Raw genomic sequence first — 27,845 nt, 5'->3', positions numbered from 1 at the left:
TCAGTATAAGTATTGATGACAAAATGCTATTTGGTATATTTTTCTTATTTCTGACACATGTAAGATTAATGCTTTTTCACCACAAGAGAAAAAGACATTATCTTTCGAGGTCAGGGAGTTTCTGCATCTTGGTTTCAAGCTGCTAACTACATATGACATGATGAGGAAATGATATATTTTTGTTTTTTTCAGGACCAAATGTAAGCATCAGAGCTGCTTACAAAAATAATTTCAAAAATTGGTTGACAAAAGAATTCTGCAGTAAGAATTTCTGTCTTATTTTCTGGTAGAAAATCCAGTTTTAGAAAAGTAGAATATTTTCTGGGTTATATTTACTCACGTCATTTTATATTTACAAAATTTCTAATTTACTAACTATAGCTATATGACTATGATTCTTTTGCCATGGGTGACATGAGTTAGAATGGTTTTTGGTACTAGTTTTAACTCATTACTATCCCTTGTTTAATATGTTAAACATGTCTTAAAGTTTGAATTTGGGGTCCTTTGATGATTTATCCATTTCTATTAATATACATCTAAATCTCTGATGTGTATAAAATGATTGTTTACTTACAATCTGGCAAGTTTTCTAACATAATTATGATCAGCTGGAACCCTAAATCTTTTCTCTGTTTAACGTCAGAGTCAATTTTTGCAGGTGCTATTAAAGAGGCCAAGCATCAAACTATTTGCTTCATTTATAAAACTATAAAAACAAATATGATTCTCAACCATTTAAAGTTTGCCACATATTGTTTCCAACACGAAGACATATCCTCAAGCTCTCTGGGAATACCATTGATGAGCTGCGCTGTTTGCATGCCCCGTGGGTCCTGCAGGCAATCATCTCTCTTCTGCTGAACCACTATCCAAAATTCATTCTTTCCATTTACCAAAACGGGGAAAAAAGGACTGAGAATATTGGGGAGGAATAGAAGTCATGACCTTAATCTGTGTGGTATCTTGAAGACAAGTATATTTATTACCTTTGTAAAACCCATCTCCACTTGGGAGCCATATGGAAGGATCTATCGTTATTTGATATAAAACCTACACATATTATTATACACCAAAAGGATTGAAACAACAGAGTAAGCATCTGAGTCTACAACTTAAAAAGCCAAATAAACTAAAGTAATAACAAATTATATGTTTCCATCATGAAAACTGATCTTGTTTAAAGAAAAAAGGTGTTGGAAGTAAGTGAAAGTATTTCAAAGTATCTGCTACTAGCATTTTTACATTTCCTCATACCTAAAATTAGTTTTCAGTGTCTTTCCTATTTCTTGTCATAATACTGGAATTTAAAAGCATAAAGAACATGGTGCATCTCAGAAAATAATATTTTGATATCTATTATCATTCAATGAAGACTGGAGGTACAAAAAAGGAAACAGTTTAAATTCGTTGAAATCGTTTCATATTCCTGTTTTTCCCCTTAGCCTCACCACTAAATCAATGTGAAAAAATCTGAGAGGAATCAGAAGAAAGGTAAAATCATCACTTTAGAAACTTAAAATACAACTTTTATGCAAAGGTCAATTGACTACAGAGAAAGCAGAAGAATAATTCCACAATGGTTTCAAGTACAGTACATGAAAAGTTATTTAGAAAGCTATTCTCACTGCTTTCAGATGACCTAGGGACAGGTCTGCCTAAAAATGGGTAAGGGATTAGGTTTTGCAAGGACTTTGCCTGGCAGGTTTAGCTCATAATTAGTCTCTCTCCCTTTGCAATAAATTGTGTGACTGTCCTGTGTAAATGGGCATTTATTAAATGTTTTTATTACAAAATAAATTATTGACAATGGGCTATTCTTTTTATTCACATTTTTGGAAAAGTTTTCTTTCTTTTTTTCTTTTTCTTTTTTTTTTTTTTTTTTTTTTTTTTTTGAGATGGAGTCTTGCCCTGTCACCATGCTGGAGTGCAGTGGCGTGATCTCGGCTGACCGCACCCTCTGCCTCCCAGGTTCAAGCGATTCTCCTGTCTCAGCCTCCTTAGTAGCTGGGACTACAGGCACATGCCACCATGCCCACCTAATTTTTGTATTTTTAGTAGAGATGGAGTTTCACCATGTTGGCCAGGATGGTCTCTATCTCTTGACCTCATGATCTGCCCGCCTCAGCCTCCCAAAGTCCTGGGATTACAGGCGTGAGCCACGGCACCCGGCCAACTTTTCTATTTGTATAACAGAGTACATTCATCCTGTTCCACATTTTCATAGCCCCACCTTTATGAAAAAAAGAATCTGTTCATAGGTAGTTAAAAAACTGAAGAATAAGTCAGGGTCCTGAAATGACTTTCTCTCTTATTTTGCAGGCATTGATTACAAAGAAGACTATGTAAATTTATAGATTTTCCAAATATCACAGAATTAAGGGGACAATTTTATGTATCATTTTGTTGTACTCAATAAGTTAGTGGAATTTGATATTAAACTTACAAGAAACTGCTAATGTATAGATGATTCTTCACAAGTACAAACATATTCCGTGAAAAGTGCTCTAGAAAAGCCTGTACTCTCCTTAAAATACAAACACACACACACTTATTTTTAAAGGACTGGATGGAAAAAAATTCCTAAAATGTCCTTGCTGTATGCTTTGGTAGCAATTTTGCCTTTCCCTTTTGAAACTGATGCATTTGTGTTCATTGACTGTGGCTTTGAATGAAGTTCTCCTCTATGAGTTCTGGGCAGGTTGCGATTGCATCACACATTTTTTTCTCTTAAAAGGCAACAGCGTATTTTCAAAAGAGATGAGGTTCTTAAGTCAAAGAGATATAAGTTTTCCACTCGCTTTATATATAATATTAGGAAATAGTTTAACGTCTTAGTCTCTATTTTCTTAACTGCATAGGCAGAATGACTTCATGCTATATTGTGATGAATAAATACCAAAAGTAGCACCCTATTTTGAGCATCTACTCTGATCTAGTCACGTCATATATCCTTTTAGTATCATTAATCTATATAACAGCACTGTGGGGAAAGAGTTACTCTACTCCCCATTTGATACAAGAATACTTATGTAAAATGCCCATGACGGTGTGCAGGTTAGCACGTTGTAGCAGTCATAGTGGTAATAACAGTAGTAATAGTTATAGTTGCTTTTGTGACTGTGGTCATCTTACATCCCCACTTTCCCACTTTAACTGAATTGATTTAAGGATATAAAGAGGTATTGAGATTAGGGGACACAGGATTCAAAGTCAGGTTTATCTCACTAGCATTTATGCTGTTAAGCATTACACCATATTGTTGTGGGTTTGTGGAGGTTTTGTTTTTTCGTCTGTTTTAATTTTAGATTTTCTATATCCAGGCACTATGCATATAGGCACTTCATCCTTAGGGAACAATTTTTCCAAATTGTATTTTAAAACAGTTTTGATATTTATTTTTTTCTGAAAACATACTGGTACGTTACCTAAAAGGCACATTTTATCCTTGATACATTTATTTGTATACACTTATATTCAGGGAGTCAGTTCAATGAGTTAGCTGCCTGACTGCTTGGCTAATTCTTCAACCATTGGTCTAGGTATTTCTGGTTTCCTGGTTCTTATGCAATGAGATAAAAACGTTGGCTTAGGGTACCTTATTCTCTATGAATTACATTTGTCAAGTGTAGTAAGAGTATGGATTATTTATGTGCTTCCTTTATATTGCTATTATTGCCAATAAAGATAATCTTAATGTCTTAACTAATGATTCATATTTTTACATATAAAATTTAATCTGATGTATTTCATACACTTATAGAAATAGAATATTGTTGTATAATTTATAGTCATATCATATACCAATAGGTATAATTAGTAATATAAATTTAGCAGGATCTGTTATTTAGTATTTATTTTTAGCCTGTGCTATGCATTTATGTCTAATTAGTAAAAGGTTTTTTTACTTCAGGGAAATTTTAAATTGACAAGACAAATAGGGAAAAAAAACACTGAAGTGTGATCCATTTTGCTTAGTACTATGTATTAAAGGTATTAAAGATATTAGAATACTACCTTAAAATCATGTATCATTTATTGAGATATGCATAGATTATTTAGTTTTACATTATGCTTATTAGATAAGAAGTATGTGTTGAGATTCCATAGAAAGCATAGCAACATACTTACTGAAAGCTGTGCTACCCTTTAGGAATGCTGAAATATAAAAGTTCATTGATACCAGGGAGCAACTGTTCATTTTTGTTTGCTCAGAATTTGTCTGGTACATATAGAGGTCTGATTTATTTTAAATGCTCTAAATCAAATTACATAGTAACATTTAGCAACGTGTATATATTATCCACTTTGCCGACTGTAAAAGAAAAAAGTTATATACTTACAGTATGTGGATAAGAACCACTTTACAACTTAATTTTTTTTCTTGCATTACTCTCTTACTGTGAATATCTATAGTGATGAGCAATGGCATTATTGGCACAGCTAGCCTTCAGAATATTTGCTCACTTTATGCCAGCATGAAGTTTACACTGCCGTTAAAACCACTGCAATTTTTACAGTTTTTTTTAATAAAGCTCTTTCTCATACATTCTTACTTCGTCTTCACAACAACCCAGTGAGAAGGCAAATGGAGTGGAGATTTGTCATTTCTACCTGCCAGCATTCCAAGGCCCTTTCTGCCGGGGCGGGGTAGCAGGGGCAGGGAGAGGCTCTTTCTACCCGGGGAGGCCCCTGAGATAAAATCAGTGGACGGTAGGGCTCCCCCTCCCTCTCCCTCTACTGAAATCAAAGGAGAGTGCACATCTCTTCTGCTTCCTTGGCAGCCCAGGTGCTCTCACGTGATGGAGGCTCAGCCAATGAGATGATCCTGCCTGGGATTTTTTTTTTTCCCTAGAAATGAGTGAATCAGAGCAGCTGAGGACAGTTTGGAGCCCATTCTCATGGAGGCAGTTTGCACTGTGGGTTGTCCCTTTGTTAGTAGAACCATCTGGAGATTTCAGGGCTATCAAAGGCAACATAAGTGTCTGGAGTGGGCTCCTTTGTTTCTGCCATTTTTTCTCATGGTTTTTCGGCCTTTCCCCTTGATATGGCTTGGCTGTGTCCCCACCAAAAATCTCATCTTGAATTGTAATCCCCATAATCCCCACATGTCAAGGGAGAGACCAGGTGGTGGTAATTGAATCATGGGGGCAGTTTCCCCCATCCTGTTCTGGTGATAGTGGTGAGTTCTCACAAGATCTGATAGTTTTATAAGTATTTGGTAGTTCCTCCTGTGTTCATTCTCCCTCCTGCTGCCTTGTGAAGAAGGGGCTTGCTTCCCCTTTTGCCATGATTGTAAGTTTCCTGAGGCCTCCACAGCCTTGTGAAAATGTGAGTCAATTAAACCTCTTTCCTTTCTAAATTACCCAGTCTTGGGCAATGTTTTTTATTTTTTATTTTTTATTTTATTTATTTATTTTTTTGAGATGGAGTCTTGCTCTGTTGCCCAGGCTGGAGTGCAGTGGCGCGATCTCAGCTCACTGCAACTTCCGCCTCCCAGGTTCACGCCATTCTCCTGCCTCAGACTCCAGAATAGATGGGACTACGGGCGTCGGGCAATTATCTCTCAACTAGCCATCTTATATATTTATATAGCACATCCCTATCACATTTAACTTGAGTAGGCTGTGGTTTTTTGCAGCCCAGAACACAGGTGATTAGAACAATTACTGCTCTTCCCAACTTACAGATGAAGAAATTGAGCCTTACAGAGGTTAAGTAACTTGCTTGTAGTTATATAAAAAAGCCAAGCCTAAATTCTATGTCTTCTGGTTAATGGTCATTCCTTTCACAGCACACCTTTTACCCAGATGTGTTTAGTGACCTTTGCAGACAGTGAGGTGTGCTTCCTTCCTCCTGTGTATCTCCTCCATTGCAGTGCTTTCTCCTATTTCCTGTTATAATGCTTTTCTGTTTGACATCAAATTTGGTCTCCCTTAGTGGACTGTTGAGCATCTTGGAAGACAAGGATTTTATTGTATTCATCCTTTTTCTCTCAAACATATACTGGAGTGCCTGGGTGCATAACTTAGTACCAATAAAGATTTTAATGAGTGATCAAGTAAGTGCATAAATTACTCAATTAACTGAAAACACTGATATAGGTTCAAAGTTGGTGCTATAAGATTGATTTCAAAAAAATATGACCTACGTTCTTTACCAATCTAAATTTTAGGATATTTTAAATAAAGTGTTTTACCTTGAACATATCAAGATGTTCACAGCCGCATGCAGTGGCTCATGCCTGTAATCCCAGCACTTTGGGGGGCCGAGGCAGGCGGATCATTTGAGGTCAGGAGTTTGAGATCAGCCTGGGCAACATGGCAAAACCCTATCTCTACTAAAAATACAAAAATTAGCCAGAACTGGTGGCGCACGCCTGTAGTCCCAGCTACTCCAGGAGGCTGAGGCACAAGAATTGCTTGAACCTAGGAGGCGGAGGTATCAGTCCGCCAAGATTGCACCATTGCCCTCCAGCCTGGGCAACAGAGCAAGACTCTGTCTCAATAAAATGAAATAATAAAGATGATCACTTAATAAACATTTATTCCATGATTATATGCTAGGTTTTAATATGGGAATAAATAAGAATGATTCTCTTTTCAAAAAAGTGCTGCAGATGGTTGGGTGAAACAGATGATTCCATAGCTCAGATAATGGAGCTATGGGCAAAAAAAAGCTGTGGTAATCTGAAGAGTGAATAGAGCAGCAGGCGCACTGTCAGCAGCCATGGGAACCACTAGACTGGCACGGGGATACAGCTCTAGGCAGGATGCTGTGCACATCAAGGACAATAGCCATAATCCTTTGAAAGCTACAGAATAGCAGAACGTGCTTTGCCTTTTCAGAATAGTGTGAGATTACCCCACTACAAAAAAATTACCTGTACTCTTAACATAATTATTTTTTAAAAGGTTATAATCAAGTCTTGTTATAAAAAATTCGGATAATTTTAAAATTAACTATGTACCGCTTGGGAATAATACATAAGACTATATTTTGGTTTGGCACAAAGATGAGAATAAAGATAGATCTATATCTCTAAGCATTAAAGTCCAACGCAACAGAAGGAACAAATAAATATGTATATATATAGAGAGACACATAGATAGAAAACCATATATATATATGTATGTGTCTATGTATGTACATATAAAATAGGATAAAAATGTGTTAATATAATTTCCATTCTTCACAAATTATGTACATGGTAGAAGAAATATTTAACTCCAAGAATGTTTTGGTATTGTTTGCAGACAATTACTACGGTACCCCAAAGCCGCCAGCAGAACCAGCACCATTATTGTTAAATGTAACAGACCAGATACTTCCAGGAGCCACTCCAAGTGCTGAAGGAAAACGGAAGAGGAATAAATCAGTGAGCAACATGGAGAAAGCCAGTATAGAGCCTCCTGAGGAGGAAGAGGAAGAGAGGCCTGTGGTCAATGGAAATGGAGTAGTAGTAACACCAGGTTAGTCATTTACATTTTTTATGGCTTCATAAATTTACTGTTTTAGATCTAAGATATATATGTACACATATACACAGTAAGATATATATACAGATACATAGTAAGATAAATATATACATATATATTTCTTACATCTGTGTGTTCACGTGTAATTATTATAATTATCTTCAAAGAGAGAAGATTATGATATCAAATGGAAAGGACATGGAATTAAAGAAGTTGAAAGAATATGCCAAAAACATTTTTGGCATATTTTTTCAACTACTTTAATTTTTTATTTCAATTATATAATATTAGTAGCAATATAGTGAATGATTGAAACTTCTATAAGATATTGCAAGTCTTATATATGGTTGTGTAAAGTTTTGAGCTCTCTGTTAATTAATATTAGAGAAAATCTATTCTTCGAAATCTTGCTATGCTTGCACTTCTCTCAGTAGAGGTTATGTCATGTGATTTAGTTTACAACTTCAATGAATATAATTTTCAAAATCGCTACAACTGCAGAATGCCCATATATTTGTTTCTTTTTCCTTACCACCTGATCTGGAAACATGAAGAATGTATCTTTATACATTAACAATGTGAAGCCACTACCTTGTACAAGCAAAATAATAGCTGTGCCCTTGATTTATGATCATTGTACCACATATGTGAAGAATTAGACACAAATATAAAATGTGCTTGTGCAAAGTATGGATTTGCATTTTTCTTATTACTTAATAGAGCATCAGAAATAGATTTTTAAAATAAAATTATTCATAATTAAATATTACCAAAACAACAACAAAACTGTGGCATTTTGGTAGCCTCTTGGAGTAAGGTTCCAAAATTTCATTTTATTATTTATTTTTTAATGGTAGCATAGCAGTGGGCATTAAAAAAATCTAAGGTCCGTATTTAAAGCTCTTAAAAACTGTTAGTGTGTGTACCTTTCATACATATTATTCTTAAGATATTTCTTATTACCACTTTGATGTCTATATTTTCAGGTTTATTGTGCTGTTTCTCTACTAACATAGTATTGGAATTTTTATGCTGTTATTTTTATCAAGGAACTAACATAGTATTGGAATTTTTATGCTGTTATTTTTATCAGCGAAAAACTTCATAAGCTTACTTTTTATCTTCCTTTTTCAAAATGCCTATAAAGGTGTTCTTCATTGAACATAAGATGAACATAAGGAGACCAAAAATCGAATTTGTGCTAATCAAGGTATAAAACCTAAGGTGCTTTCATCTTGATTACTCAGAGGAGGACAACCTCCTCCCTTAATATATGTGAGTTAAAATATATTAATGGACTCTAGCATCATTGATTTCTAGATACAAATGCTAAAAATCACTATAAGTAATGTAACTTGTCTCCTATGAAATGATGTGGCAATTTTCAAGCAATTAGATACCTTCCTCTTTTTTGATTCTTAAGTATCTGTGTCAAAATATTTGCTTTTAATTATATAATTTCATTAGAATTACATCGATAGTACATCGTTTTCTTAGCTGATCTTTGATATGAGAAGCCGAACAACTCAGCTGGGTTGAAGCAATAACCACAAAAGAAGCAGAGGCTGGGGTCATATAACATTTGCAAAATTTCTTACTGGTTAACATCTTGTGGTTAAAAATGTAAAAAGTATATTCCTGCTAAACCAGGATCATTGATCCCTATTTCATTTCTTATCTGTGTAGGGCAAATAAAGTGAAGTATTCTTGATCCACAGACTTTTAAACTAGAAACTTGTTTAATTATGGGGCTTACTGAATCTAGAAAGCCAAATTTCCTTCTATTCATACCTTATGCATAAGGATGATGTGCTTTTATGGTTAGGAGGTCTTCATCACCCCCAGAGAAACTGGATAAAACTGAACTGTTCTTGATCAACCCTAGCCATATCTCTGGATTCCTCAGCTTGATGATAGTAGAGAACAATTGTTAGCCAACTCTAGGTTTTCAAGACAGTCAATGGATACTGCCAACAGTGGCTCTGTAAATAAGCCTGCTGGACAAGTGGCCCTTATACTGTGCTTTTCTTTCCTGTTATGGGGAGATGAGAGATATACAAATCAGGCAGCCCTTCACCCACTGTTCAAAAATGAGCCGAACAGTCTCAAACCAAAAAATGGTCCATCATCCAGTATTAGAAGTCCTTTGACAATCCCAGTCCTTGAAATGTCTTTGTTTCTCTTTACATTTATTGAGTAGAGACTTTAGGAGTTTCTTTGACCTCCTCTGATATACATTTCCCAACTCTTCACCTTTTGAAACTCATCACATTGGTTTTTTTTTTTTTTTTTTTTAGCACAGTGTCTCTGCCCTGCCTTCGTGTTCTTCACATTCTTCACATTCACCAGACACCAGATTTCAAAGAAGACTGAGAAACATGTTCCTAGCCAGGTGCGGAGGCTCATGCCTGTAATTCCAGCACTTTGGGAGATCAAGGCAGGCAGATCACTTTCATAGGAGTTTGAGACCAGCCTGGGCAACATGGCAAAACCCCATCTCTGCAAAACACACAAACACAAAAATTAGCCAGGCATGGTAGCACACACCTGTAGTCCCAGCTTCTTGGGAGGCTGAGGTGGGAGAATCACCTGAGCCCGAGGAGGTCAAGGTTGCAATGAGCCGTGATGGTGCCACTGCACTTCAGCCTGGGCAACAGAGTGAGACCTCGTCTAAGACAAACAAAAAGAGAGAGAGAGAAACATGTCACTTAAATTTTAGTTAACACTGCCCTATATCAACTAACTATAGTAATAATTAATATCAAACTTCAATTCAGAGCATAAATATTATAATCAATGAGGCACATTTGGAGAATATAAAAAACATATTGAGGTAACATTATTCCATTACGAAGGAATATTGATAATAGTAATAAGCAATAAAATAATTCACTTCTTTTGAATGCTTACCATGCTTTAGGAGTGGCCTAACCTCATTATAGGTATTAGTTCATTTAACTATCTTAACTGTCCCATCAACTAGGTACTGCTTTACAGATTAGGAAACTGAGATACTTTGCCTAGTAACTGGAGTTCATATGTAGGAAAACTTGGTCCACAATCCATATGTGTGGCTGCCATGCTATCCTGAGTCTTATATAACCAAATACAAGCATAAATATATTTCTTAGTGATATATAAACATATAACCACTATTTTACCTGTATATCTTTCAAAGTGGCATTATAAATTTCTAGTTACCAAAAACTTCATATTGCTTTTATTTCCTGAAATCATGTACAGTGAACTTACATCCTTCTCTGTGTATAAAAAATTCCTAGTTTTTAAAATTCTGTGCATGTATAAGCATTAAATCTACCAATATTTGGCTTTATATATATTTAACCAAAACTTTGCTCTAAGTAAATAAAGCTTGTAGGTGATTCCTCGGTTTATATCTGATTCCTATTTTTTTTTTTCATCTTTTCTCCTTTGAACTAGAGATTATACTTAAACTGCAGTTTTCTTTTTCTCTCAGACCTTATCTATCTAAACTCAATGACCACCTTTAAATATATAAGTTCTCCAGGAAGTTCTGCTAACATTATCAATGTTATCGAAATTCACATGACATGTGAATATTTATTTTACTGAGTGTTCTTTCCTTCTGCTCAAAATTGCACCAGACACATAGAGTTAGCCCATGGCACCTAGTAAAACCATATAATGATTTTTCAGTGTCAGGACAGAAATATTTCTCCCTCTGTCACACATTGCCTTGGTAATGGAAATCAATACAATTCTATCCTTAGATATGTAGTTTTATCCTTGTCAATAATAAAAAATGAGAAACATGAAAATAAATAATAATGGCCACTCTCCTCTAATGGATACAAACAATGTACCAGGCATATAATACATATATTATCTCTAATCCCATAATAATTCTATACTTATTTTATGAATGAGATACTGAAATTTTGCTTAAAGTCCTTAACTAAAGTAAAAGTTTATTTACTGGCGAGTTGAGATTTGGATCTAGTAATACCTGAACTCATCCGCTCTCCAACACATGTCCCAGAACTGTTAACCATGCCAAAGACAAAGGGACTTCTGACCTCCCCAAAGTAAATCGCAATCCTGCAGCTTAGAGGATTTAGTCTACATTGTATTCCATTGTATTTGTCTTTTACTAGGCTCATAGCAGTGATGTTAGATTTAATGACAAGTACGATGTATCCTTACATCATCTTACAGATTGTTTTTGAACCGATGTTTAAAATTTATATCCCCCGGAAACCTTAACATTAACATCACCTATATTTAGATATTTTCATCTTTCTGTTTATCTTATTAGAGTTGATGTCAGCCCCATGGCTTCAAATTCTACAGATTTATCTGCACCCTTCACTGCTCTCCTGTGTTTAAGGTATATTTCTAACTGCTGCCCACTGGACAGCATCACCTAAGCATTACTTCTGCAACTTAAATGCAACACATTTCACTTAAACTCTTCTCCCACAGAACAAGCAAGCAAACCAATTCACAAAGCCCTTTACCTGATTTCTGTAATTCTACTTTTCACCCATATTCCTCAGAATTATCATTTTGTTTCTTTCCCCCAGTCTTGGTATTGTTTATTAGGCACAAAAGGGCCTTTGGCTCCCATCCTTGCCTTCGAAATATCACTGCACCATCCTAGAGCACTGCCTTACTAACTCATTTGTGGACTATAGTTCCCTAAGGGATCTGTATGCCTCCAGGATCCTTCCTGATCCAATTACCTTTTATTCCACCATAGGTAAAAATTCCTGAACCAAAACTAGGTCATGGCAGGGCGTGATGACTCACACTTGTAATCCCAGCACTTTGTGGGGCTGAGGCAGGTAGATCACTTGAGGTCAGGAATTCAAGACCAGCCTGGGCAACATGACAAAATCCTGTGTCTACAAAAAATATAAAAATTAGCCAGACCTGGTGGTACACATCTGTAGTCCCAGCTCCTTGGCAGGCTTAGGTGGGAGGATCACTTGAGCCCAGGAAGGTCAAGGCTGCAAGGAGCCATGATCATGCCTCTGCACTCCAGCCTGGGTAACAGAGTGAGACCCTATCCCAACAAACAACAACAACAACAAAAACAGGTCATGCAACTATCCTCAAAACTTGAATGAGCTTCTGTTTCCATTGGTTCAAATTCCTCAGGTAGCAACTCAGGTCCTGTTACATTTGACAAGAACATCTCTGTTAGCACGGGCTCCCATTAATCCCGTATATAAACTCCTTTCTCTCATCCACACTACACACGCAAAACATTTTCACCTGTGTGATCAGACCATTCCCACATTTGAATTCTCTTTATTCAAAATCCAATAAAAATTTTTCTTATTTCCTGGGAATCCCTTGTTGACTTTTCACAATGAAAAGTAAAAACTGATCATCTCTGAATGACAGTAATACAATTTGCACTTTTCATGTGTTTGGAAGGTATTAGCCTGGTACTTGTTGGTAACTTTTCATAATGTGCATGTCTGGCATCCCCATATATATATTGTAAACATTATTAGAACAAGGACCTTTTTTTTTTGAGATAGAGTTTCACTCTTGTTGCCCAGGCTGGAGTCCAATGGTGTGATCTCGGTTCACCAAAACCTCCGCTTCCCGTGTTCAAGCCATTCTCCAGCCTCAGCCTCCCAAGTAGCTGGGATTATAGGTGCCAGCCACCACACCCGGCTAATTTTGTATTTTTAGTAGAGATGGGGTTTCTCCATTTGGTCAGGCTGGTCTTGAAATCCTGACCTCAGGTGATCCACCCGCCTCGGCCTCCCAAAGTGCTGGGATTCCAGGCTTGAGCTACAGCGCCTGGCCAAACAAGGACTTTTTTTATTTTTCTGTTTGCCTGTTCAGCGATTAGCATATACCTTTAAATATTTCAAGTACTTAGTAAATCTTTATTTTTTAGTCAATCTTGTCTAATCTCTAGAGGATGTCAGTTTTACTGTATCAACTGATTACATTCCTTTCATGCTCATTTTACACTATTCAGTATATTCAATATGCAGTGTTTCCTAAGTTTGAAGGATATATCCCTGATCCTATATTCCTTCAAAAGTTGTATAACTAAAAAAAAAGTATACAGAAGTGCATTTTAAAATACATATTCTTAGAGATGAGAATTAGCCAGCCTCCCTAGCTTTGGCAATACCAAAGATAGATAGATGGTTAATAGATAAGTCAATTGAATTTTTTAAAAGATTGAACTCTCCTTCAGGAAAGCAAGATCATGTAAACCAGAGTAATTAGGTTAAGCTTTCTTGGATTTCTTTTATTTCATGAGTTACCTGCTAAACTTTTCCGGAAAGTAATTCACTATTATCTTGTAGCTTCCCCTCACAAGCTATTAGTAAGCCTAGTGCAAAGAATTAGAAATGCGCATATATTTTAAAAGCATTTAAATCTCTCTGTTAATACAGACACACACACACACAATGCCAAGAGGAACAGGGCCCATGAGAGCTACCTTCGCCAACAAAGAGAATACAGTATGTGTACACAGAGCTGCCTTCTCCAGGCCCCCAAGCCTGCAATTAGTGCAAATGAACTGCATCTCCCAGAGAGCAAACAGAGTGTCCCTTATGTGATCACCAAGTGTCCTCGGCAATGATCTCAGTTCACCATTAGGGACCCGCATCCAGGTCCTGTGCTGCTTGGCACGCTGACTGTGCATGCACCATCAGTCCTGGTTCTGTGAATGAGACCCTGTCACTGTCAGAAGAATTATGTCCTCCCTAGTGAATCTCGCTGTTTTCCTGTGAATAATGCCCCACTCTGAAACCACCCCAACGCCAATGCCCTGCTTATTTTTGTGTGGGTTCACAGAGACTGCGATTTGTGTATCTACCCAGATATTTATCTTTTTTGAGCGGGGTGAGAAGGGCTTAATTTTATGATCTTGTTCCCAGAGTACTGGGTTTTATCTCTCCATTGAATGGGAAAATTTCTGGGGCTAGTTTAAATTAGCCTTCTAAAATTAGATATTCCATCTATAAATGACCAGCATTCCATCTTTTCTTGAAAGAATTATTTGAAAGTTATAACTGCCCTAATTGTAAAATGTTCTGACTGTCTAGGTGTAATTAAAAAGTAATGATATCACTTTAGAGTTTGTGGTGATTGTAATTATAATATTACTATTAATAATTTTATAATTATAATGGTAATTATATTACTATTAATATTAAACTATTATAGTGATTGTAAACATACCATTTTAGTAAGGGAAATCAGGACTAGTTTTAGAAGTGTCATTTTAAATCAAGGCACAGTCATGTTTCAGTTAAACTGAAAGTAATGGATGTGAACCTCTTTAGTCCTTTTTTTTTTTTTTTTTTTTTTTTTTTGAGACAGTTTCACTCTTGTTGCCCAGGCTGGAGTGTAATGGAGTGATCTCAGCTCACTTCAACCTCTGCCTCCTGGGTTCAAGCAATTCTCCTGCCTCACCCTCCCAAGTAGCTGGGATTACAGGCATGTGCCACCATGCACAGCTAATTTTGTATTTTTAGTAGAGATGGGGTTTCACCATGTTGGTCAGGCTGGTCTCCAACTCCTGACCTCAGCTGATCCACCCGCCTCAGCCTCCCAAAGTGCTGGGATTACAGACGTGAGCCACCGCACCCGGCCCTCTTCATTTCTTAAACAGATTCAGCATTGCATGCACTCAACCTCTGGGGAGAGTGTTTCTCTACTTCTCTGCAAGTTTACGTAATTTGTGTGTGAGGGAGATTTGATCCATGAGTGAGGAAGGCAGAACAAGGACAACCAGAGTAGCACCTCAGGTTTCTCCAGCAGTTACAGAAAGCCCATGGAATTGTGAAAATGTTTAAGTTTCTTCAGGTTCTCCAGGCTTTCTTAGAATCTAAGCTTTTTTTCTAATCACAGTCATATATTCTCTGTAGGTCTGATTTTCACCTGTGTCCCTGGGTTTCTTATAGTTCTCCTCAGGAAAGTGATTATGATTGTTGGTGTGAAATCACAGCTACTTTATTGTCAGTGATGGCTCTAGTTATTTCTGGCTGAGGACTGGCCTTTCTTTTTGAAGAGGGCATAAGGTCTCTCTGAGCACCCATTGCTTCTACATGACTCTATCAATGGGAACAGTATTGTGATGTTTTTTCCCGTTTGACTTTTTGCCCTCATCAAAAAATACGTTGACTCCAATTTTGCCCCAAAGAATAGCTCTTGAATTATCAAGATCAAATTTAAAGTCTTCCTAATTTTCTCTTTCATCTCCTTTGAATTTCCTGGAACTTCAGAAAGTGGCCTCCTGTTTTATATAATACTATGCTCCTGATTAAAAAAAAAATTGAAGGCAAGCTCTAAGAAATGTTGTATGTGCATGTTCTTTATTTCATACCTTGCTGTGGTTTTTTAAGTATGTCAACATTTGTATCAGTTTCTTTCACCCCAAAGTTTGTTAAGAATTTGGGGGACTTGTTTCTTTATGATAAATATCTTTAGATATTTTCTTCTCCCCTGTTAATCTAAAATAATTTCCTCTACTAATCTTTCTGTGATTCTTTTCAATTTAGTTTTAGGAAATGTTTTCCTTGTCACCTTCTACCCACAGACTTTGAATTTTCTATTTTCATAATTTTCCATATTGTTCTTTTAGTACTTCAAACAATTTGTAACTAATTATGGGTTTTAGATATAGAAGAAAAATAATTGTGAGGCACGAAATATGCATTCTCAGTAATTCACATACCCCTGGCTAGACCCTGAATAGAAGAGATGTAATTTGCTTATAAATGTTACATATATATTGAGAGGCCGAGGCAGGTGGATCACAAGGTCAGGAATTCAAGACCAGCCTGGCCAACATGGCAAAACCCTGTCTCTACTAAAAATAAAAAAATCAGCCCATCGTGGTGGCACGCCCCTGTAGTCCCAGTTACTCGGGAGACTGAGGCAAGAGAATCGCTTGAACCCGGGAGGCGGAGGTTGCAGTGAGCTGAGATCGCACCACTACACTCCAGCCTGGGCGATGGAGCAAGACTCTGTCTCAAAAATAAAATAAATTCTAAAAAATTACATATATAAATCATTTCTTCACAGGCTTGGGGATTTCTGCTTCCTGGATTGAGGTATCATCCCAAAAATCAGAAGCACAGTTAACCATTACACTAACTTTCCCTAATTCTAATATCTCCTTCTAGACTTACGTTTTCTCCCTGGCCTCAAATAATAAAGGGAAGCGGTTGTTTACATCTGCAAAAATATGGTATAGATATATTTGCCACACTGTTTAAAGGCCACACCCTCTTTATACTCACACCTTTTTTTTTTTTTTTAATTTATTTTTTTTGAGACGAAGTCTCGCTCCATCACCCAGGCTGGAGTGCAGTGGCACGATCTCCGCTCACCGCAAGCTCCGCCTCCCTGGTTCACGCCATTCACCTGCCTCAGCCTCCCTAGTAGCTGGGACTGCAGGTGCCCGCCACCACCCCCGGCTAATGTTTTTCTGTTTTTGTTTTTGTTTTTTGGTGTTTTTTTTTTAGTAGAGACGAGGTTTCACCGTGTTAGCCAGTCTGGTCTCGATCTCCTGACTTTGTGATCCACCCACCTCGGCCTCCCAAAGTGCTGGGATTACAGGCATGAGCCACTGCGCCCAGCCTCATATCTTATATATTAATTATAATGAATTTTTTTTTAGCACTTAGAACCACTTCAGAGCACGAAGAGTCAAAAACTGACTAAAAGTCAATAATCAATTTGCATAGAAAAATCTCTGAAGGGTCACAAAGATAATTATTACTGCTAACTTGATGGCTAGAGCCCTGGATTTTAAAGCTTGCTTTGCACTGTTTTCCTCCATTGTGTTTCTGGATTTTGTACCATGTGCATGTTTCACTGTGTCAAAAAAAAAAAAAAAAAAATTTATATATATATATATAAAAGATGGTGAGCAAAAAAAAGTCACTATACAATGTGCAAATATTTTAGTACCCATATTAGAATTCTTCTCATTTTAGAAGGTTTAGGAAAAGTAAGAAAATGGATAAGAGCATTCTTTGAGCAATAATTGACAATCTGGACTTCTTGATGAACTGACTGTGTAGAATGCGTGACTGCTCCCTTTCTGAAGACACTGAAATGTGTCCTACACTTTTCATTACAGAGTATAATCTATAGTACAGCCACGATGAAAAATCAATTATATAAGTTTACAAATAATTATATTAGAAATAAAATAATCATAATTTCCCATATATAAAAATCAACACAATCATATTTTTCTTTTGTCCAAATATCAACCCTGAAGTGTTGATTTATTTACAAGAGCCTGTAGTTCAAATTCTAAGCCAGCTTCCAGCAGTGAAGCAAACAGTCCTCCCACCACAATCCAATAAAACCTTAGATCAATATAACAAACACACTTTTTAATGGGATTATTGGGTTTGCACAAAAGCATGGAGAAATCTTTAAGCCCCACCACATCCAACACAGTGGCCACTACCACAAATGAGCAGAAACCAGAGTGAGGAGGAGTCAGTTATAAGCAGACTAGAAAGCCAAAGTTGCTCTGGGGGTATATGAGAAGACCAAGCTTTGGACCAGTATAAAATTGGGGAGCTGCGTTTCTGATTTTGCTTTAAATCAGTTGCTCTCAAAGGTGCCAAAGTGATGCCAAGTTTGTAGCTCGGTAGCAGCCCCTGGTGCCCAACAAAAGCAAATGCAGAACTCTAGAGAACATAATAGAGAACTTGAAAAGAATGCATGGTTTCTGAAGATTGCTTTTCCTCCTTTAAATTACTTAACCCCATTACATGTCTCTATTGAGGAAGAAAAGCTCAATTGATGCAAACACCTTTTAAAGAAGAAATACCACCTTTATGTATATCCTTTTCTGACATTTGCATTACTTTTTGAAAACCCCTAATCTAAAAATTATAGAAAATTGACCATACCTTTTGTTTCTGTAGGCAGAAATCATTTAAATTGCTTGACCAATTTAACTACTCTATTTAGTATTATAAATAATAGAATTCAGTGGTAATAATATACAACATTTACTGAACACCTACTATATTCTAGCAGTTTACTACTCTAAGCACTTTATAGATAAGTCTCATCTAATCCTTATAGGTAGGTAACTTCATTATCCCCATTGTACAGTTAAGAAAATTGAAGCATCCACAGAGTTATTAAATAACTTGTTCAACCTCCCACTTTAAAGGACAGATTCAAACCTAGGTGGCCTGACACAAGCCTTAACTATTACGTTCTACTGCTTCTTATGGAGACTGTTGTTATCGGGGAATTTTTAAAGGAAACGTAAAAAAAGTTTACATTTCAAATTATTCCTATTCTCTTTATGAACTACAAATATGTTCCCTGATCCTTTTTTTCTCTCAGCTTAAATGTTTTCCAGCCATGCCTACTTCCAAAGAAATAATATGAAGACAAGGAGAAAAAATTATTGGATTTCTTAAAAGTTGTCACATAGCCATTATAAATATAAATCACAGGGTAAAATAAATTTTGGAAATTCAAACTTTATGACAGTTTAAAGGAATAAATTTTTCTATCTACCTTAAAAACAAATCAATTATTTTCCCTCATTTCAAAAGACGGCAGTTACAGAAAGCTGCATGTTAACTGTATACATAGACTGTGTCACATGAAAATATGGATAAGATATTAAATGTGTATTCTTCTTCTTGAGATGGTTTTATCTTGGCTTCTGGTTATTCTTTAATGAAACTGGGTGGGAACGTTGAAAACCATGACATTCTAACTTATCATTGGTCTTGTACCTGAGAAGCAACATGTTAGATACTGGCAGGGCAATAAACAAGAAAGCAAACGGAATGGCTGCCATGCATATTTTTGTAATATCAAAACCTTAGACTGTACCAGAACCATAGAATTTATAAGGACTGAACTAAATGCACAAATACATACATTTATTCTCTCCCAATTAAACGCTTTCAGTTCCTGCACTATGTACAGATCTTTGAGCCCTTCTGAATTTCTTATGGAAAGGAGAAAATTATATTTACTGAATTCAACAAAACCCTCAGGGCAGGCAAGATGAAAGGAATTAAATTTCTTAATTCTTCACAACAGTTAAAGTGTAGGTATTAATAAAATATGTTTTTATAGATCATTGTTTATAAGACTATATGTTATAAATGTCTGTTTCGTGCCCCAATGTTTCTATAGAATTTCTAGGAATTCTATTTAACAGTCCTAGTCCCACAGAAAATTTTTACATCATTAGCATCCTTTAAGAAGAGGTGTTTCTTCTTTACTGAAATATTCTTTGTTTTTATTGTCAGTGAAAAAAAAAAATTCTTGTTCTGGTTTGAACGACATCTAAGAGACACAGAAACGCAATGGGGAATGCACAAAAAATGTCAGTGTTTGATAAAGTCTGTTCGTTTTAGCAGTAAATAAGGAAAACATTATATTTTACATATGAAGCTGAGGCAGGAGAATCACTTGAACCTGGGAGTCAGAGGTTGCAGTGAGCCAAGATCGCCACTGCACCCAGTCTGGTGACAGAACAAGACCCCGTCTCAAAAAAAAAAAAAAAGACTATTTTTCAATTTAACAATAAAAGCATACTGAGAAATGCATCTTAAAAGTCAAAAAGGACAATTTTACTTAGCCACTTCCTAATCAAATATAGCTTCACGCCACTATAAAAAAGGTAAAACATGCATGGGTTATTTGGCTCCTTCTCCCTAGTCAGAATTTAAATAGTCCAGAAATTCTCAAACCACAGATCTGATATATATATGATGTGTGCGAGAGCATGCTTACATGCACATTTTTCTCATCAGGCTGCATGGGACTAGGAATACTCGCAGGAGTAGCTGACACAGGCAAGCTTGGTTGGCGTGTAAGGTCTGGTTATTTCCCTCCCATTATTACGAAGTTTGCTCGGTTCTTAACGGGTAATTTCTTAACAACTTACACAATATCCAATATATGTCATTTTTAAAAAATTTAAGCCGATACAGAAGAAAGATATATTATCTAAAATGCAGCAAAGTTAATTTCTATTTTCCATATTAATCAGGGAAACAAATATGATATAGCATGAAACAATAATTTGCAGTCCTTGAGATGTTAAATATTGGTTCAGTGGACTGCACAGTGAACTGATCCAGTACACCATTTTATGAGTTGAATTGTGCCCCCACCCCCAGATTCATATGGTGAAGTCCAAACCCCCAGTATCTCAGATGGTGACTTTATTGGGAAATATGATCATTGCAGATATAATTAGTTAGGACGTGGTCATCCTGGAGTAGGGGTAGACCCTTCATCCAGTATGACTGGTGTCCTTATAAAAAGAAGAAATTGGAACCCAGATGTGCACACAGGGAAAATACCATGTGAAGACTGCAATTATGTTGCCATGGGTCAAAAAGCTACCAGAACCTAAGAGAGAAGCCTGAAATAGATCCTTCCATAGTGCCTCCAGAGGGAGCTGGCCCTGCCAACGCCTTGATATAGGACTTTAACCTCCTGAATGTAAGACAATAAATATCTATGATTGAAGCCACTCAGTTTGTGGTGTTTAATTATGGCAGCCCTAGAAAATTATTACATATCATTTGGACCACATTCTCCTTGACTGTACACTGCCTAGCTTAGTGCCTGATGGTTAGTATGCTCTAAATAAATGTTTCTAATAATGCAGGAAATATAAGACCAGTTTCTTCTCTCACTGACAAATATTGGAGTTCCTCAGACAACTGCTTTAGGTACCCTTGTTTCTAATTGCTACACTGTCTTCCTAGAAAATTTTATTCAGGTATTTTATGTCATTGAGTATCACTTAACAAATCATTATTGTAGTACTCTATATAGTTGCTCAGAGTTGGGGGAGACATGTCTTCTCCACCCTCCATGTTGCCTTGAATGTCTAGGAGAGTACTGAATTTGCATTCTACCATCTCTTTTACTCACTCTGCCCAGAAGAGGTGCAGGGATTTATCTGAGTGACACAACTTGGAAGATGAACCTGGACCTTCTTGGCTCAGTTCCCCTTTTCTTCCCCTAAATATTCTACTTTGCCCTTCTGGGAACAGATTCTACCCTTACATGGAAGCCCTGCCCTGGTTCCACACTGCCAATGAATAAATTGGTCCTCTGGGTTTTGCCAGAAGCCCTTGATTCTCACATTAAACCGTATCCCTAGGTGAGCCTTTGTGAGTAATAAATATGGGAATGTTATGGATCTTTATTTGCCTTATTCATTTTTTTTGTCTTATTTTGTTAAGATGGGAGAGGTAGGTGCTACTTATTGCTTCCCTCTCAGCTTAGTTCACAGCAGCCTGATAAAAAGGTCTATAATCTCCCCCATTAAGGTCTTGTCAAGTATCTTACACACTATAGATATTAAATTCATGTTTGCTACTTTAATGCTTGATTAATTAAGAATAAAGAAATGAATGAATAAACAGATAAACTGGGAGAACTTTGTCCAGTAATCTCTGATACATCAACAAATATGATTATAGATTTCTCCAAAGACTAGATCCTTTTTTAAGAGATGTCCTACATTTCTCTTGAGAATTTAATGGTATTATACAGTAGAAGGAAAGTTCATTTGTCCAAAGCCAAGCTTCTTGAATGACTTCTCTATTAGGATAATTCTGTATTTTCCTTTCATTCATTTTTAAACCTATTCCAATCTGGCTTCACCAACCACTCCACCGTAAATACTGCCGTAACTGGCAGCCAGTGTCACCAGTGATCTGCACATCATTCGGTTCTACAGATTTTATGTCCTTGTCTTGCTGGACTGTGCAGAAGCTTTGGCCACAGTTAAGTGTCTTGTCTTCAACACCCTTTGCTTGGCTTTTGCAACATGAAGTTTTTTTAATTTTCTCATTGCTTCCATGGCTGCCCTTTCCTCTTCTCTTTTACCAGTCCATTGTTTCAGTGACTTAAATGTTGAAGTTCATCAGACAGCTGCTCCAGATTCTTGTTTCCACTTCTCACCCTGTCTCTTGGCAATTTCATTTACTCATGGCTAAAATTATAGTACCATCTAGCCATATGCTGTTTTCTTTCAGGTTTATTTTTTTTCCATCTAAGAATTCTCTGACTTGACGTCTCCATGAACCTCTAACTCAGTGTGCCCAAAACCACATGTATAGCCTACCCCTACCCCACAGAATCCTACTCCTCCTTCCCTGTTTCCAATCTCAGTGAAAAGCCTTGCCACCCACCATGGCAGGTTATAAAATCTACCCTCTAAATATTTTTTTAATCTGCTTCTTTCCATCTCCGTGCCACCATCATTACTTTTTGAGAGCACAAAAATAACTTTCCACTGCTCTATAAACATCTACTCTTGCCACCCTCAAATCCCCAGAATAGTTAAGGAGATCTTTGTGGGAAATGAAAATCTAATTTTGTCATCTGCTTCAGTAGAACATAGCAGTATCTTTGCTCTCAGGACACACTTCCAAATCCTGAGCATGCCTGATAGAGCCTCACTTAATCCAGCCCTCATTTATTTATTTCTCCCTTACCTTCAGAGCCTCACTTAATCCAGCCCTCATTTATTTATTTCTCCCTTACCTTCTTCTGAAAGAACCCTTAGATGTTATAGCACATTGAAAAAGAGGTTTTCCCTGACTCTTTATATGAGATTAGATGAATATACATACAGAAGATCCCATATACATACGATTCCCTTAGGCAGCACTCATCACACTTAAAATTATTGTATAAAGACTACACATCTTGACATATTTGGAGTTCCATGAGAGAAAGGATCAATGTATCTCTTGTTCACTCTTCTGTCCTCAGTGTCTGGCACCAGTTGAGTGCATAATAAATATTGATTAACTGAATATTGTATAACTGAACATGTTCAGAGCATGACCTTGCATTTGAACTTTTCAGTGCAACGTGACATTTTGTATGTTCCATGTGCGTACCACAGTATGTATAATTACATGTTGAAATATGCCACAGAAAAGAGACTCTGAAGTTAGCAGTGGTACCTGTTTTTACTGCTTTTATCCTACAAAACTTACAAAGATCAAATCTTTATAAGGAATCAGCTAGGAGACTCTATCATTAAGGGCCATATTATATTCATAATTTCCCTCTTAAGGGCAATACAGTGACAACTTGTAAAGTATTCTTGTGTTTTTCTAATAGATACTTTATTTCTATTAGATATTAGATAAGTATTTCTAATAGATACTTTAATATTGCTCTCCTAGATTGATGCAGAGAGGGGAAAAATTGGCCCATGCAATTAATAGTGACAGCAAGATGATATTCTAATTTACTCATTTAAAAAATCTATTAACTTTTGAAGTTATAAAAATAATAGATACCCAATGAAAGCAAAGATATGTAAAAGAAACTTCTTCCACCCCCATCCAAATTTACTATCCTGAGGTAATCAAAGTTGACAATCTGTTGTACATCCTTGCAGTCTGTTTTCATGCTTATATAGAGATATAACTATATATCACTTAGAGATCTTAATATATGCTTATTTAGAAAAATAGGATTAATACTATACATTTCTCTGCAGCTTAGATTACTCTTTAACAATTATAAGCACCTTTCAAGGTCAATAGATATTCATTGATTTTAAACTACATAGTTTTCCATGGTAATGACAAACACTATTTATTTATTTAATTATAATCTCATTGATAGGCATTTATATCATTTCCAGGGTTTTACTACTACAAACAATATTGCAAAAAATAGTATTATATAGGCATCATTATATAATACTGCCTTTATTTCTAGAGGATATGTTCTCAAAGTAAGATAACTCAAAGTCTGTGTATTTGTATTTTTTTATTTTAATAGGCATTATGTTCCCAAACAATTGTAGAATTTTATATTTCCAAGATGGCCACCTTATCCTCACATTGCCTCTCACTACCTTTCAGCCCCTCTGAATCTCAGTAGTGCTCTCCTTCTAGTTTCTGAGTTAAGGAACTTCTCCTTCGTATTTACCCTAACGGTATTTCTTTCTCTTGATGGTACCTGCTCTACTCTTCCCCAACAAATAAGACTCATTGTTTATCCTTGACAGCAGAAAAACTAAATGTGGGGTAAATGAATCCATGAATAGCTCAGTAAACATACACATTAGGAGATATTTCAAAAATATCCCCATTATACAATTAAGCCTACACCTTGACCAAATTATTTGCCCAATAATCTCATCCCATGAAAAGGTGGCCTTTAAAATTATCTCATATACTCACTCTCTGAAGTGCCTACTGATGACAGCTTTAGAATGTCTCTATTTTCCTACCTTTTCTCCACTTCCTAGTACCTGAGCTTTCCTAAGATAAAGTCTAAAACCCATGGTCTTACTAGGTCTTCATGTATTTTTCTTCTTTCCAGAATCTGTCTTTAACACATATTACAAATTTTCAGAAATGTGATCATCTTCCATTTATATTTAACTATATTATCCAGAATTTATTTCTTCCATATTAGTTCATCCTCACACTGCTATGAAGAAATACCTGAGACTGGGTAATTTATAAAGGAAAGAGGTTTAATTGACCTACAGTTCCACATGGCTGAGGAGGCCTCAGGAAACTTACAATCATGGTGGAAGGCAAAGGGGAAGCAGGCACCTTGTTCACAGGATGTATACTTATGAGGTCAATCATAACGGCCCACCTTATTTTCACTTATTCATATGATGCAAGAAATACCCAAGTACTTCTGAGATGATGAGGAGGGTGGGGAGGGGAAGGAGGAGAGAAGAATGAGGGAGGAGAGGAGAGGACAGGGGAGGGTGAGAGAATGAAGGAGGAGGGAAGAAGAGGAGGGGAGGGAGAGGAGTGGGAGGGGAAGGAGGGGGAGAAGGAGGAGGGGGAGGAGGAGGAGGGGGAGGAGGAGGGGGAGGGGGAGATGGAGTGAGTGCAAGCAGGGGAAATGCCAGACACTTATAAAACCATCAGATCTCGTGAGACTTACTCACTACCACAAGAACAGGATGGGGGAAGCCTTCCCCATGATCCAGTTACCTCCACCTGGTTCTGCCCTTGACATGTGGGGATTACAATTCAAGATGAGATTTTGGATGGGGACACAGCCAAACCATATCATCTTCCTACCTTTTATTTTCTCCCCGTATCTTGAGGTCTCTGCTCTGATTCAATCATCATGATATGGTTAGAGTAATTTTTCAAATTTTGCCCTCAGATAAGATACTTGGAGAGCATACATTCAGAACTTTTGCATGTTCAAAAGTGACTGTTTTTTCCCAGATAGATGAATATCTTGGTAGAGTTAAGTTCTTGGATTACTATATCTTTTTTTTTCTCAAGTTACTATAGATGTTACCCTCTCTTTGCGCTTAGAGTATTACAGATAAAAGGTCTGATGCTCTTTTGTTCCTCTTTTCTTTGTAAGTAATCATATCTGTTCAGTATGGAAGCTGCTAAAGTTGCCTTTTAACATTGTAGTTTGGAAATTTCAACTAGATGTATCCAGGTGTCTGCATGTTTCCTTAATCTGGCCTCAGATTCAGTGAACTATTTCAATCTACAGACTGGTGTTTCTTCATCTTAGATAAATTTTCTTCTATTGTTTGTCGACTTATTTCTTCCTTGTGCGTTCCTTCTTCTCATTCTGGAACTCATACTGTTTATATGTTGGGGATCTTGGGTCTGTCCTCCAAGCCTGTTACCACTTCTGTTAAGGTAGTTTTTGCTCTGTTGTACAGTAGCTCCCCTTAGCTACGAGGGATGTGCTCCAATACCCCCAGTGGATGCCTGAAACCTCAGATGGTACCAAATCCTATATATACTATACAAAAAAACTATGATAAAATTTAATTTATAAATCAGATGCAGTAAGAGATTAAGAACAACAAATAATAGAATAATCATAACAATATACTATTATGAAAGTTATGTGAAGGTGGTCTTTCTCTCTCTCTATCTTACTGTACTGTAATCATCTATTTTTGCACCATGGTTGACCATGGGTAACTGAAACTATGGAAGAGCTGTGTTCCTTGTTGGCAGAGCTGTGTTCCTTTCCGGATTCTCCAGGAAATAATCCATTTCCTTTCCTTTTAAAGATTCTAGAGGCCACTAATATTTCTTGGTCTATGGTCATTTTCTGTCTTCTAAGCCAGCAACATTGCATCTCTTTGACCATGATTTAGTAGTCAATTCTCCCTTTTACCCTTCTTTTCTGCTGACTTTTTTCACTTTTAAGGACTCTTGTGATTACATTTAATCATAATCATCCAGATGAGGCCATCTGGATAATCAAAGATAATCTCCCCATCTCAGGGTTCTTAGTCACATCTGCAGATCATCTTTTGCCATGTAAGGTAATATTCACATATTCTAGACATTAGGATATGAATATCTTCAGGGGCCCATTATTCTGCTCACCATACCTGTATTATGAAATGGTCCTTACATTACATCCTTTAAACCTCCAATTCTGTAAACAATAATAATTAGCTGAAAGATAGATGACAATGACGAGTGAAAGGAGAGCTCAAATAGGCCTAGTGATCATTATGCTTTTTCAGAAATGTTTCCTGTTAGCCTTCATAGAAGTTATTCATGACGTTTATTCCCTGGTACAGCATTCTCCATACTCAGTCCAGAGTTACCATGGTTGGAGTGACTAACCACGTGCTCTTGTTCTCTTATAGAATCCAGTGAACATGAAGACAAAAGTGCAGGTGCCTCAGGGGAGATGCCCTCCCAGCCTTATCCTGCACCAGTGTACAGTCAGCCTGAGGAGCTGAAGGAGCAGATGGATGACACAAAGCCAACTAAACCTGAAGACAATGAGGAACCAGACCCATTGCCTGATAACTGGGAAATGGCCTATACAGAGAAGGGCGAAGTCTACTTCATTGAGTGAGTTTCACACATTTCTTTCAACAGTGCCAAAAAGGTCATAGCGGGATATAAATGATGTAGCAAGTTAGACGTGGAAAAAAAAAAAAAAAGAAAAAAACATGAAATTCTGGTAACAGCTTTTTTATTTGTGAGAGAATAGTGGGATAGTGCCTTAATACAGTTAAGCCTCCTAGAATACAGCTATAAATCAAATAATGGATTAAATAATAGCACCCTACAATCTCTTATAATTATGACTAAAAAAGACAAATCTCCATGTGATGTTATTATTGAATTAGGAATAGTCTAGATATCATGAGAAAGTGCTTACTCAGCTCCTCCTAAGACCCCCGTCTTGTCAAAATGAAATTTTTTTCCTATTATCTAAGCTAGTTGGAGGAATATTCACCATCAAGTCCAGGAATTTAATAAAATGCAACTATTTAAAGTAATAGGTCACAAAAGAAAAAATATTGATGTTGTTTGTTTGGTTGGTTGGTTGTCTTTGAGACAAGGTCTCACTCTGTCGCCCAGGCTA

At 36.7% G+C, this 27,845-nt stretch overlaps 1 protein-coding gene across 14 annotated transcripts in view, besides 1 other annotated feature; it reads left to right on the top strand.

Moving 5' to 3' along the window:
* Window positions 1–27,845, top strand: part of MAGI2 (membrane associated guanylate kinase, WW and PDZ domain containing 2) — a 1,436,613-nt gene that overhangs the window by 924,766 nt on the left and 484,002 nt on the right. For all 14 annotated transcript variants that reach the window (XM_047421093.1, XM_017012845.3, NM_001301128.2 and 11 more), the window contains 2 exons: window positions 7,257–7,472; window positions 27,115–27,325. In XM_047421093.1, coding sequence (XP_047277049.1) covers window positions 7,257–7,472; window positions 27,115–27,325 — 427 coding nt within the window. The remainder of the gene's footprint in view (window positions 1–7,256; window positions 7,473–27,114; window positions 27,326–27,845) is intronic.
* Window positions 4,671–5,230: an enhancer, noted in NCBI's record as "OCT4-NANOG hESC enhancer chr7:78152989-78153548 (GRCh37/hg19 assembly coordinates)". NCBI's record gives its function as "activates a minimal SCP1, AML or CMV promoter by ChIP-STARR-seq in naive H9 embryonic stem cells {active_cell/tissue: H9 hESC(naive)}" and the evidence as "EXISTENCE:reporter gene assay evidence [ECO:0000049][PMID:30033119]".

Source organism: Homo sapiens, chromosome 7, assembly GCF_000001405.40.
Source record: "Homo sapiens chromosome 7, GRCh38.p14 Primary Assembly".
Taxonomy (NCBI): Eukaryota; Metazoa; Chordata; class Mammalia; order Primates; family Hominidae; genus Homo; species Homo sapiens.
This window is presented reverse-complemented; position numbering and strand designations above follow the sequence as displayed.